At 37.5% G+C, this 14,317-nt stretch overlaps 2 protein-coding genes across 3 annotated transcripts in view; one reads left to right on the forward strand and one right to left on the reverse strand.

Annotated features, from left to right (window-relative positions):
- OR51B5 (olfactory receptor family 51 subfamily B member 5) overlaps nucleotides 1-14,317 on the reverse strand; it is a 165,335-nt gene that overhangs the window by 74,963 nt on the left and 76,055 nt on the right. The gene's annotated exons all lie outside the window — the stretch shown is intronic.
- Nucleotides 6,831-7,926, forward strand: OR51Q1 (olfactory receptor family 51 subfamily Q member 1). The gene has a single exon (NM_001004757.2). It carries the CDS (start codon nucleotides 6,921-6,923, stop codon nucleotides 7,872-7,874), a length of 954 nt encoding a protein of 317 aa, NP_001004757.1. The 5' UTR covers nucleotides 6,831-6,920; the 3' UTR covers nucleotides 7,875-7,926.

Below are 14,317 nucleotides of genomic sequence, written 5' to 3' on the forward strand. Positions count from 1 at the left end.
TAGAGGGAAATTTATAGCACTAAATGCCCACAAGAGAAAGCAGGAAAGATCCAAAATTGACACCCTAACATCACAATTAAAAGAACTAGAAAAGCAAGAGCAAACATATTCAAAAGCTAGCAGAAGGCAAGAAATAACTAAAATCAGAGCAGAACTAAAGGAAATAGAGACACAAAAAACCCTTCAAAAAATTAATGAATCCAGGAGCTGGTTTCTTGAAAGGATCAACAAAATTCATAGACAGCTAGCAAGACTAATAAAGAAAAAAAGAGAGAAGAATCAAATAGATGCAATGAAAAATGATAAAGGGGATATCACCACCGATCCCACAGAAATACAAACCACCATCAGAGAATACTACAAGCACCTCTATGCAAATAAACTAGAAAATCTAGAAGAAATGGATAAATTCCTCGACACATACACTCTGCCAAGACTAAACCAGGAAGAAGTTGAATCTCTGAATACACCAATAACAGGAGCTGAAATTGTGGCAATAATCAATAGATTACCAACTGAAAAGAGTCCAGAACCAGATGGATTCACAGCTGAATTCTACCAGAGGTACAAGGAGGAACTGGTACCATTCCTTCTGAAACTATTCCAATCAACAGAAAAAGAGGGAATCCTCCCTAACTCATTTTATGAGGCCAGCATCATCCTGATACCAAAGCCGGGCAGAGACACAACCAAAAAAGAGAATTTTAGACCAATATCCTTGATGAACATTGATGCAAAAATCCTCAATAAAATACTGGCAAAACGAATCCAGCAGCACATCAAAAAGCTTATCCACCATGATCAAGTGGGCTTCATCCCTGGGATGCAAGGCTGGTTCAATATATGCAAATCAATAAATGTAGTCCAGCATATAAACAGAACCAAAGACAAAAACCACATGATTATCTCAATAGATGCAGAAAAGGCCTTTGACAAAATTCAACAACCCTTCATGCTAAAAACTCTCAATAAATTCGGTATTGATGGGACGTATCTCAAAATAATAAGAGCTATCTATGACAAACCCACAGCCAATATCATACTGAATGGGCAAAAACTGGAAGCATTCCCTTTGAAAACTGGCACAAGACAAGGATGCCCTCTCTCACCACCCCTATTCAACATAGTGTTGGAAGTTCTGGCCAGGGCAATTAGGCAGGAAAAGGAAATAAAGAGTATTCAATTAGGAAAAGAGGAAGTCAAATTGTCCCTGTTTGCAGATGACATGATTGTATATCTAGAAAACCCCATTGTCTCAGCCCAAAATCTCCTTAAGCTGATAAGCAACTTCAGCAAAATCTCAGGATAGAAAATCAATGTACAAAAATCACAAGCATTCTTATACACCAATAATAGACAAACAGAGAGCCAAATCATGAGTGAACTCCCATTCACAATTGCTTCAAAGAGAATAAAATACCTAGGAATCCACCTTACAAGGGATGTGAAGGACCTCTTCAAGGAGAACTACAAACCACTGCTCAATGAAATAAAAGAGGATAAAAACAAATGGAAGAACATTCCATGCTCATGGGTAGGAAGAATCAATATTGTGACAATGGCCATACTGCCCAAGGTAATTTACAGATTCAATGCCATCCCCATCAAGCTAACAATGTCTTTCTTCACAGAATTGGAAAAAACTACTTTAAAGTTCATATGGAACCAAAAAAGAGCCCGCATCGCCAAGTCAATCCTAAGCCAAAAGAACAAAGCTGGAGGCATCACACTACCTGACTTCAAACTATACTACAAGGCTACAGTAAACAAAACAGCATGGTACTGGTACCAAAACAGAGATATAGATCAATGGAACAGAACAGAGCCCTCAGAAATAACACCGCATATCTGCAACTATCTGATCTTTGACAAACCTGACAAAAACAAGCAATGGGAAAGGATTCCCTATTTAATAAATGGTGCTGGGAAAACTGGCTAGCCATATGTAGAAAGCTGAAACTGGATCCCTTCCTTACACCTTATACAAAAATTAATTCAAGATGGATTAAAGACTTAAACGTTAGACCTAAAACCATAAAAACCCTAGAAGAAAACCTAGGCATTACCATTCAGGACATAGGCAAGGGCAAGGACTTCAGGTCTAAAACACCAAAAGCAATGGCAATAAAAGCCAAAATTGACAAATGGGATCTAATTAAACTAAAGATCTTCTGCGCAGCAAAAGAAACTACCATCAGAGTGAACAGGCAACCCACAAAATGGGAGAAAATTTTCACAACCTACTCATCTGACAAAGGGCTAATATCCAGAATCTACAATGAACTCAAACAAATTTACAAGAAAAAAAAAACCCCATCCAAAAGTGGGCGAAGGACATGAACAGACACTTCTCAAAAGAAGACATTTATGCAGCCAAAAAACACATGAAAAAATGTTCACCATCACTGGCCATCAGAGGAATGCAAATCAAAACCACAATGAGATATCATCTCACACCAGTTAGAATGGCAATCATTAAAAAGTCAGGAAACAACAGGTGCTGGAGAGGATGTGGAGAAATAGGAACACTTTTACACTGTTGGTTGGATTGTAAACTAGTTCAACCATTGTGGCGATTCCTCAGGGATCTAGAACTAGAAATACCATTTGACCCAGCCATCCCATTACTGGGTATATACCCAAAGGACTATAAATCATGCTGCTATAAAGACACATGCACACGTATGTTTATTGCGGCACTACTCACAATAGCAAACTTGGAACCAACCCAAATGTCCAATAATGATAGACTAAGAAAATGTGGCACATATACACCATGGAATACTATGCAGCCATAAAAAATGATGAGTTCATGTCCTTTGTAGGGACATGGATGAAGTTGGAAATCCTCATTCTCAGTAAACTATTGCAAGAACAAAAAACCAAACACCGCATATTCTCACTCATAGGTGGGAATTAAACAATGAGAACACATGGACACAGGAAGGGGAACATCACACTCTGGGGACTGTTGTGGGGTGCGGGGAGGGGGTAGGGATAGCATTGGGAGATATACCTAATGCTAGATGACGAGTTAGTGGGTGCAGCGCACCAGCATGTCACATGTATACATATGTAACTAACCTGCACATTGTGCACATGTACCCTAAAACTTAAAGTATAATAATAATAAAAACAAAACAAAACAAAACAAAAAGAAAAACAAAACAAACAAACAAAAAAAGCACCGAACCAATCCAAATGTCCATCAGTGATCGACTGGATTAAGAAAATGTGGCACATATACACCATGGAATACTACGCCGCCATGAAAAGGATGAGTTCATGTCTCTTGCAGGGACATGCATGAAGCTGGAAACCATCATTCTCAGCAAAATATCGCAAGGACAGAAAACCAAACACCACATGTTCTCATTCATAATTGGTAGTTGAACAATGAGAATACATGGACACAGCGAGGGGAGCATCACACACCCGAGCCTATCGGGGGATGGGGGGTTAGGGGAGGGATAGCATTAGGAGAAATACCTAATGTAGGTGACGGGTTGATAGATGCAGCAAACCATCATGGCACGTGTATACCTATGTAACAAAGCTGCACATTCTGCACATGTACCCCAGAACTTGAAGTATTATAAAAAAAAAAAAAGCATCATCTGGTCTCACTAGAAGTTCCTGAGACACCACAGTATACTTTGGTGAGTGTTTCTTGATATCGGTAATAGGGCAGTTTCTGATTATTTCTTGAGGCATGTGCTCATTTTTTGAGTCATGTGCAGGTATATGAATTCTATATCCTAGTATGACATCTGAGGACTTACTTTTGATATATCTTCACTCTCCTTCAAATTGTCTAAAATATTCCCCTTTATCTTTGAAATGATGTAAGATTTCTTATCTTCTCTATGTTTGCCATAATGAGACTTTTGGGGGCACACTTGTGTGTCACAGACATCCCAAAATCATGATGACAAGCTAATGCTTTACTCATAGTGCCCAATTTATATCTATATCCAGGAATGAAAATGTCTTTAGCATCTCAGGTAATAAGGAGTTATCAGGCACACCTAGAGAAAAGAAGTGCTTTTAAGAACATAGTGGTAATGTACTTTGGCTTTGGAATTCAACAGAACTACAGTTGGTCCTCCGTATTTGTGGGTTCCACATTCATGGATTCAACCAATCTTGGGTCAAAAGTATTGGAAAAAAAACTTCCATCTACACTGAACATGCACAGATTATTTTCCCCTGTCATTATTCCCTAAACAATATAGAATATCAATTATTTACACAGCATTTATATTGTATCAGTCATGATGAGTGATTTCAAAATTATTTAAGCATAAAGGAGTATGTGCATAGGCTACATGCAAACACTACCATTTTAGGTATGGAACATGAACATCTACAGATGTTGCTATCCAGGAGAGCTCCTGGAAACAACCTCTCACATCGAGAAACGATGATACTTCAAATACTTTTCCTGTCTCTTTTTCAAAATCTGAAACCTTGGCAAGGGACATAACCTCTTTAAATCCCAGTTTATATACAATGGGCATGATAATAGCTCCTTTTTCCAAGGGTCATTATTAGCACTAACTGAAATTATTTTTATAGCAACTACCATAGTTCCAGCACAGGTAAGCACATTTCTATTGTAATATGATTACAATAGAATGTAAGCACATATATAAAGATTATAATTAGAGCTTATGTTTCTATTTACATTTCAATGTGCTTAATAGAAACATAAGCTCTAATTATAATCTTTTGAAAACAAATGTTGCATATTTATTTTAGTTATGATAGGTGATAGATATATAGGCCTTTTAATATTTGAACCATTTATCTCTTTCTACTCTTTTGTTATTACATAAAAGTCTATTTTCATTAAAAGGTTTTATCCTTATTTAAAATTATTTTATCATTTACTACCAGAAGTAAATTTACTGAATTAAAGTGGCATCTATGATCGAATCATTTTCCAGAAATTAACATACAAATTACACTTAAGAAAGTATGAATGTTTCTACACTGCCATTTCCTTATTTGCATAGCATGTTGTCATAAAAATTTCTCTGTTATTTTGAAAGTTTAAAACACCAATTATACGATTTAACTTTCCATTATTGCATTTTTGGATGCAGTTGAACATTGTTTTATGCTTCTTTGTAGTTGTATTTCTTTTACTGTTAACTTTGTCATATAGTTTTTCTTAATCTATTGTATTTTTCTTGATAAATATTGATATATTTAATTTTTGATATTTAAGATAGTAATCTCTTCCATATTTTTATAAATATTTTTGAAATGTTTAAATTTTACCATTTTTTGCTACAGAGAAAATTTCACTTTTAAAGATTATATCTACTTGTCTTTCTCTGTGATTCTTGTCTATTGCTGCTATTTACAAAGTCTTCACAAAGGAAAGATTTAAATGCTTATATTATTTTCTCTATTTTATTTTTTGTCACTGATTTTCATTTAGTTACTTAATTCATTTTGAAATTAGTTTTGTGGGAATTGAGAGATGAACCACCAAATAGCTAACTATTGAATAATTTTTTTTCTAATTCAGTTTTGATTTCTGTCTTCATTTCCTTATTTCTTGTACATATATATAAACATTTCTTTTTTCTTAGTGTTTCCAGAGGCTCAGGTTAAGATGAATGCCCCTTGAAATTGATGCACAATATTTCTTTCAACTACAGCTCTCTTGCCCCTGTAAACTCTATCCCAGCTTCGGAGTACTTATAGAAGGAAGTCTTTTAGAACTAATTTTTGAGAGATTGTACAGTTCAAGCTTAAGCATGCAGTTTCAAATCACATTCAACAAGCTAATGAAACTGTGATTCAATATGGCTTTCTAACTTATTGCTCTGTGAGGACACCAGGGGCAGCAAAGGCTGTCACCACCAGAGTTGATTTACTGGGCTCCCTGTGGGACCCAGGTCCCAAGATGCGATGCCTCCGTGTAATCCTGAAGCGACCTGCCACACCTTCCACCCTCCAGACTAGAGATCTGCAAGGGGCTTATACCGCACCTGCTCTCTGAGCTAAGCTGAGAAAACAGAAGCCACAGATGGTGACGAGGGTACCTCCAAGGCAGGAGAAACCACAGGTAAGACTCCTCTGTGAATCATCAGGAAAAAGAAAAGGGCACATGACTTGTTAGAACATAAGAATTAATACGAGTTATCCACTTAAAGCAGTGCCTAAATGTAGATAGTACTCAATAAATGTGATTGTCTTCACCTGGGCTGTTAAACAGACTTCTGACTATTTCCTCTCTTTCTCTTCTTTCCTATGTTTCCTCCCTTATTTCCAGTTATTTTTTATGTCATAGAAATAAAATCAATATCAGAAGACATTAGCTAATGAGAATAGGACAGAGTAGAAATAGACTGCAGTACAGTAATAAAACCTTAATGAATGAAAAAATTAGGAGATGAAGAAAAAGTAGCAATAGGTTTAGAACTAGTGAAATAGGTGAGAATGCTGCTACAAAAGTCAAAGGAGATATTTGGAAAAAGACACTGGATTTATATCAAAAAAAGATAAAGATTGAATATTAAGCATCACATTTATACAATAGAGTTCATTTTTAGCCTTTGTGAGAACAGTATTGATAGTGAGATTTGTATGAAAGGCTGATTTAAATGTGCTGAAAACTGAATGGGAGTGGGAAAATGGGGGCAGGAAAAATTAGAGTTACCCATGAATTAATATATATTCCGTCATCAAGGGAAGATTAGCTGTGTGGGAGCAGTCTGCAGAATTGGGCTAAGGAAAGGATATCATATATCACAATGTTCTTAAATCTTGCTTTAGTTACCCTCAACAACTCTGAACATTTATTTGTGTAGAATTTGGATTAAATGGGGCAAAGAGATATTATTTCTAATGTTTCTTTTTCTCCCTGAGTGAAGATCCTGAATCTGAAGACACATTCATCAGTCATGTCCCAGGTGACTAACACCACACAAGAAGGCATCTACTTCATCCTCACGGACATCCCTGGATTTGAGGCCTCCCACATCTGGATCTCCATCCCCGTCTGCTGTCTCTACACCATCTCCATCATGGGCAATACCACCATCCTCACTGTCATTCGCACAGAGCCATCTGTCCACCAGCGCATGTATCTGTTTCTCTCCATGCTGGCCCTGACGGACCTGGGTCTCACCCTCACCACCCTACCCACAGTCATGCAGCTTCTCTGGTTCAACGTTCGTAGAATCAGCTCTGAGGCCTGTTTTGCTCAGTTTTTCTTCCTTCATGGATTCTCCTTTATGGAGTCTTCTGTCCTCCTGGCTATGTCCGTTGACTGCTATGTGGCCATCTGCTGTCCCCTCCATTATGCCTCCATCCTCACCAATGAAGTCATTGGTAGAACTGGGTTAGCCATCATTTGCTGCTGTGTTCTGGCGGTTCTTCCCTCCCTTTTCTTACTCAAGCGACTGCCTTTCTGCCACTCCCACCTTCTCTCTCGCTCCTATTGCCTCCACCAGGATATGATCCGCCTGGTCTGTGCTGACATCAGGCTCAACAGCTGGTATGGATTTGCTCTTGCCTTGCTCATTATTATCGTGGATCCTCTGCTCATTGTGATCTCCTATACACTTATTCTGAAAAATATCTTGGGCACAGCCACCTGGGCTGAGCGACTCCGTGCCCTCAATAACTGCCTGTCCCACATTCTAGCTGTCCTGGTCCTCTACATTCCCATGGTTGGTGTATCTATGACTCATCGCTTTGCCAAGCATGCCTCTCCACTGGTCCATGTTATCATGGCCAATATCTACCTGCTGGCACCCCCGGTGATGAACCCCATCATTTACAGTGTAAAGAACAAGCAGATCCAATGGGGAATGTTAAATTTCCTTTCCCTCAAAAATATGCATTCAAGATGAGGGAATGCATTTCTTAAATTACTGACAAGTATGAGTCATAGGCTTAAGGGGGGAATATATTCAGAATTAGGAAACTATAAAATAAAACTTCATCATAATATTAAGGCAGTATGACAAGTCCCTGGCTTTTAGCATGGAATTTTTGGCTGAGGTGAGCTAGCAGCAGTGATTCTATGCAAAAGAGATATGGATCTGAGTTGATAAAATTCTAGCACATCTTAGCAGCTATCCCAACGGGAGGATTTTAATGGATTGAGTAAAGTTCTCTCGAAGCTTGTCTTTCTTTCTGGATATTTTTCTCTCCTACGGGCTTGTTTAAACTTAAACTCCCAGAAGTTTAAAGGAAATCCTGTTGTTGCCCCTATCACCTATTCTCTTAGGCAGTTCCATTTAGGCATTTAGGTAAACATTAGATCTTCTGTTCTGGGTCACTCTCACGGGTGATTGGACTTTCCTTTGCAAAGGAATGATAACATTTTGAGGGACAATAGACACATCAAGTTTTTCTGCCATTCAGATTTACCTAATTAACACCAGCACTTACCTAATCTGAATTAGGTAAATTCAGATTTACCTAACACCCAAGTAATTTAATTTACCTAATAAACACTCAGCAAGCAAAATAAACATATGCAAGAAGTCTAAAATTAGTGTAAGGTTTTAAGACTTTTCACAGTTCCTACCTTGCTAGAGTTTTTCAGTATTCAGAATTCAAACTTCTTTCTTGTGGGAAGAAAAACTCATTTTTTTTCCGGACCAGAGCAGACTTTTTTCATACTTTTATGTTCTTAATGTAGCTCTGCTTCTTACAGGCAGATTTCCTTGGGCATCATGAATTTTTCACGAGCAAATATTCTAGTACAGTGATATGACCTTAAGGATCATAAAAAATATTTTGTGGAAACAAGATAAACTTTCCCAGCAATATCGGTTTGAAGGGACAACTATAAATTTGATCACAGCTTCTGATTGCTGGATTCATGGTGCAGGTGGTCAATATTGGGATCCACTTAGATTTGAATCAACATAGGCAGTGGGAGCACAGTGGAAGGTAGTGTTACAGAACTTTCTCCTTAGTTCCGCTAAAACTGAGCTCTTGTCACACAACCAGGAAGGATTAGGCTCGTAGACACATAGAAGGGTGAGGAAAATGAAAGTTATTCGGGGAAAAGAGAAAAGGGAAAACAAAACAAACAAACAAAAAACAAACAAACAAACAAAAAAACACCTTTCAGCAAGATGAAAGAGTCCTGCTACCAGGCTTCCCGACTCACAGATTGAATCCCAGGTCACCACACAGGAAGAGGAGAGGCCAGGATCTTCCCCTCTGCAAATGGCATGAAGTTCCTGAGGCCGCCCTCCATCCTCCCAGTACACAGGTAGGCATTATTCAGAAAGAATCAGTCAGGAAAAGGCAGGCTTCATCCAGGACCAACAGTCTGGTTTTTCAGCCTTCAGGCTGTTATTTAGGGTTGAAGGCAGGGTTTCACTGGGGACCCCTGGCTGCCTCCTGTCTCTGTAAGTAGCATTAGAAGTGAAAGGCAGGGCCTGGCGGGGTGGCTCACGCCTGTAATCCCAGCACTTTGGGAGGCCGAGACGGGTGGATCACGACGTCAGCAGATGGAGACCATCCTGGCTAACACGGTGAAACCCCATCTCTACTAAAAAATAGAAAAAATTAGCCGGGCGTGGTGGCGGGCGCCTATAGTCCCAGCTACTCAGGAGGCTGAGGCAGGAGAATGGCGGGAACCCGGGAGGCGGAGCTTGCAGTGAGCCGAGATCCCGCCACTGCACTCCAGCCTGGGCGACAGAGTGAGACTCCGCCTCAAAAAAAAAAAAAAAAGAAGTGAAAGGCAGAAAGCAAATACCAAAGGAATCTCTTTCTCTTCCTACATCCTTTCCTCATGTTTTATTTTTTCTCTGCTAGAGCCTAAAAGTTAGCATTTTTTAATAGAAACATGGGTCTGCTGGCGTAAATTGCAAAATGGAAGATGTGCATTCTCACAATAGAATTTAAGTCCAGAAAATCCAAATGCTGAAAAAAGTCAAGAACATGGATAGAAATATGGGTCAAAAGAAAATTTTTGTCAATGTACAGGCTTGTTAATGCTCCAGAACAGCATGTGGAGCAAATAAATTTTGGGATTATGTTGGTTTTTCAAAAGAGGAGCACAGGCTACCATAAATAATGTCTTGATGAGCGATATCTATCGATGCAATTTTGTGGTCAGAGATGAACTAACAAGTCAAAACTTAACTAGAAATCAGATGAAGATTAAATCAAGTAGTCTGCTTCATTATTTGTTGTTCTCCCTTTTCTGTTTCCTTTCTTGAGATAAACTGTTTATTGTCTTCTTCCTTTGCATGTGTGTGTGGCGAGGGGAGGAGGGCTTTATGACTTTAAAACATCATGATATGTTTAGATTTTGAAATAGATTTCATTTTTGTAAATTTTTTTAATTGGGAAATGTGTCTGCAAAATTATTGGGTACCTAAAACGCAAATAACTATACTGGTCATATTTTGTTATAGAAATGTGTTTATTATAAAATATAGAGTATGATTCTAAGAATGTAATATTCTTTGTATCTTATTGACCCTCTGTAAATTATTTTAAGTTAGCTATTTAAGAGGACATAAGATTGGATATTAATTTTTTGAGATGTTAAATGGATCCATTAGTTCAAATAGAAGCTAGCCTAGCCTGCTACTATAGAAGAAGGGACAAATTTTCAACCAAACACCTAAGAATCATTTTGCAATAATTAGCGTAAAAAGAAAAGAGACAGAAAATTTGAAGTTGCCAAGGTGTCCTTCAGTAAACAAATGGATGATCAAATTGCAATACATCCACACAATGCAATATTATTTGGCAATTAAAGAGGAATGAACTATCAAGCTGCACGAAGATGCGAATGAATCCAAAATGCATATTGCTAAGTGAAAGAAGCCTGTCTTAAAAGGCTAACAAAATACATGATTGTATTTAAATAGAATCCTGGAAAAGGCAAAACTATAGTGAGTATGTCAATCAATGGTAGTCAAGGTTTTGGGGAAAGTGAAGTGTTGAATAGGTGAAGCTCGAGGATTTTATTTTTTAGGGTGGTGGAATCATTCTATCATATTGTTATGGTGCACACATAACACTATGCACTTACCAAAATCTATGGAATTTACAGCATTACAGGATGAAGTTTAATGGAAACAAAATTTAAAAATTATTTAAGACATTATAGGATTACAGGATGAAATGCACAATGTGACCAGAAAAATCTAACTCTCTTATAGTTATTAAATATATGAAACAACCACACTGAAATAATTCCGGGGAAGGGGGGAGTTGCTGACCTAAGTAACTTTGGAAATAGGTGAAATCTGTTAGACTAAAGGCAAAAAGAAGTATAGTATGTACTCTACCCTACTTAATGAATCAGTTTCTCATGGCGGTGTGGATTAACACCGCCCTAATACATGTGTTAGGGCACAAAAAAGCCCCTACAGTATAGTTTTTTGGCATGTTGAGTGCTTTAAATTAAACAAAACTGAAAGTCCTTATAAATAAGCCTCAAAACCAAGGTCTCTCTCTGTCTCCCTGTTTTTCTCATCCCCTTTCTTATCTGAAGTTCCCTCATCTGATTACAGAAAGTACCTCCAGAAAAAAATGCAATTATCTTAAAACTCCTTTTCTAGGACTCTTACCAAATAACCAGGAAAGATTAACCACAGGAGAAAAGAGACTAAAGTCAGTTGTCATCACATCCAGATAAACTTTCCATCTATTCTTCTGAAGACAGCTTTGAGAGATTACCTGGGAGACATTATCTGCACGATGAGACAACATTTGTTCACAGTGAAGTTCCACTACTCACCTTCCCATCACCTCCCCCAAAGCACAGAGGAACTTTGTCCTAGTCCATTGTTCTTTTGAGTTATTCATTTCCCCTGGAAATTATTTACTACCCCTCACAATTGCTTACATTTCCCCTTCTCCTTCTCCCCTATGAAGATGGTATATACCGACCGTCCAACCTTTCTTTTGAGTTTCATATTTTATGTGGCTCCCACGCATATGCACATTAATAAATTCATATGCCTTTTATCCTATTAATCTGTCTGTTGTCAGTCATTCCAGTGAATCTTCACAGAGAATGAAAGTGAGGCGTTCTCCCTGCCCCTACACATGTGTGCTGAAATTGAACAGTTAGGTAAGTGAAGTGAATGACAGATGGCGTGAGCCAGGTTTTTCAGAGTTAGAGTAGAAGGTTACAGACACAAGGGGAAAAGCCTTGAATGAACCATGAATTAGAGTTGAAGACATCAGTGTGATGTCAGTTTAGCCTAATATAGATGCAGATAAACACAGAAATATTTATAGATTTTGTATATGCACAGTTTAGTATGCTGACATATTTTTTTTGCTCTGTAAGCTAGGAGCACCTAGAAGTGACGACAATCCAGTAGGAACAAACACATGAATTAACATAAAACTGAATATCTTTGGAAATAATTTTAACTTATCTGACAAATAAAACCAGCATAGAAAATACTGAAGCTCAAAATTTAGATTTTTGATGAGAAAAATAAACCTAAAACTTCTGGTAATTAAAATGTTTTTCTACCATTATATTTCATACGGGAATGATATTAGAAAATAAAAACAACTTCAACTATTTTTAAACATCAAATTTAAATTATGTACATTTTTATTGCAAAGAATTATGATATGGTGAATATTAAAATAGTTTTAAATATAAATATACAGTGCATGGTCAAAACTTTTTGATGGAGGTAAAATAAAATTTTCAGTTAGAGGAAAAAGGTACTGATGTAAAATATCTGACTGTTAAAGAACATGTTCATGTATTCTTAAATTCATGATGTCAGGTATCAAAACATTATGTGTTTAGATTTTCTTGGATATTTAAAGATGTGATACAACAATTTACTTTAAACTAAGTATATTTATAATACTCTATATATATCCCAAAAGACATGCTCAACAAGTAAATTTATCATAAAAAAATTAAATATCAATCTGAATATTCTTGAGAAGATATAGGCGTACCTTGGAGATAATATGGGTACAGTTCCAGACTGCCACAATAAAGTGAATATTGCAAAAAAAAGAGTCATACTTAAAATTTCCCAGTGCACATAAAAGTTATGTTTACACTATAATATAGTCTGTTAAATGTTCAGTAGCATGATATCTAAAAATGTACATACATTAAAAATACTTTATTGTTTAAAAATGCTAACAAAATGAGCATATGCTGCTGAAAAGATGGCGCAGATAGACTTGCTCAACATAGGGTTATTACAAACCTTCAATTTGTAAAAAATGCGACATCTATGAGGCACAATAAAGTGAAGCATGTAAAATGATCCATGCTTATATATAGATATGTTTTAGCTTTTTATATTAGAAAGTACATAAACAAAAATTGGATGACTACTGTTGTAAATATGAAACCACCTTTGCAAAGATTATGACAGTGAGAGAAATCTAACATGATTGACACCATCTTGCTTCTAGCCTCACAGCCTGGCTGTCTTCACTCATTTCTGGGCATAGGCCAAGCTAACCATAAGAGAATTTAGTTTATAGTTTAACTTAGAAACAAGGACCATCATAGTCCCTCCCCCAAACTAATCACCTCCTTGTTCAGAGGCTGAAACTACCTTTGTAAGGCTAATGAAAGACTACAGGATTAGAAATAAGAGAGGGGCCTGAATTCTGCTAAAATGTAGGTATAGTTTTTACTGTCCCTTACTGCTTCAAAGTGATGTGGCCAGAGGTCACAAGATTTGTGACTGCTCCAATTGGTCCTATAGTTAACATTGCTACTGTAGAACTTAAGATTGGTGTTTTGAGATGTTTTTCAGACTGACCCCATCCAGACTTGTAACTCATGACTCAGCTGGTCCTCTGCACCCACCACACACAGAGCCAGACTCAGCACATGACTACCATTTTCCACATTCTTATTATTGTATCCCCAGCCAATCAATAGCAGCACCTATTCCCTAGTCCCCTGCCCACCAAACTACCCTTGAAAAACCCCAGCCTTTGAGAGTTTGGGGAGACTGGTTTGAGTAATAACTCCATCTCCTGTGTGGCTAGTGTCAATAAATTCTTCACCGCAATACCAGGGTCTCAGTCTGTGCAGTGGGCTGGAAGAACCAATCAGTGACTACAAACACACTAAGTATTTCAAAAAAGTCACAGACAACCTTACAAAGACAACCCTTGTAAGCTGGATGAGTCAAGGAGAATAATATGTGGTGAGGACAATATTTTCATTGTAATTGGAGGCCCCAAAGTGAGTGCGAATGATCAGTGACACTAATCACTGATCAATCAGCACAGTTCCATAAATTCACTTTATACAAAGGCCTGTGTGTTTAGGAGATGAGAAGATGGTCGTTCCCACTTGACCAAG

The sequence above is a fragment of the Homo sapiens genome, chromosome 11, assembly GCF_000001405.40.
Source record: "Homo sapiens chromosome 11, GRCh38.p14 Primary Assembly".
NCBI classification, from domain to species: domain Eukaryota; kingdom Metazoa; phylum Chordata; class Mammalia; order Primates; family Hominidae; genus Homo; species Homo sapiens.

What these genes read in the sequence shown, in the direction of transcription:
- OR51Q1 (NM_001004757.2), top strand. Translation starts at nt 6,921, where the DNA reads ATGTCCCAGGTGACTAACACCACACAAGAAGGCATCTACTTCATCCTC.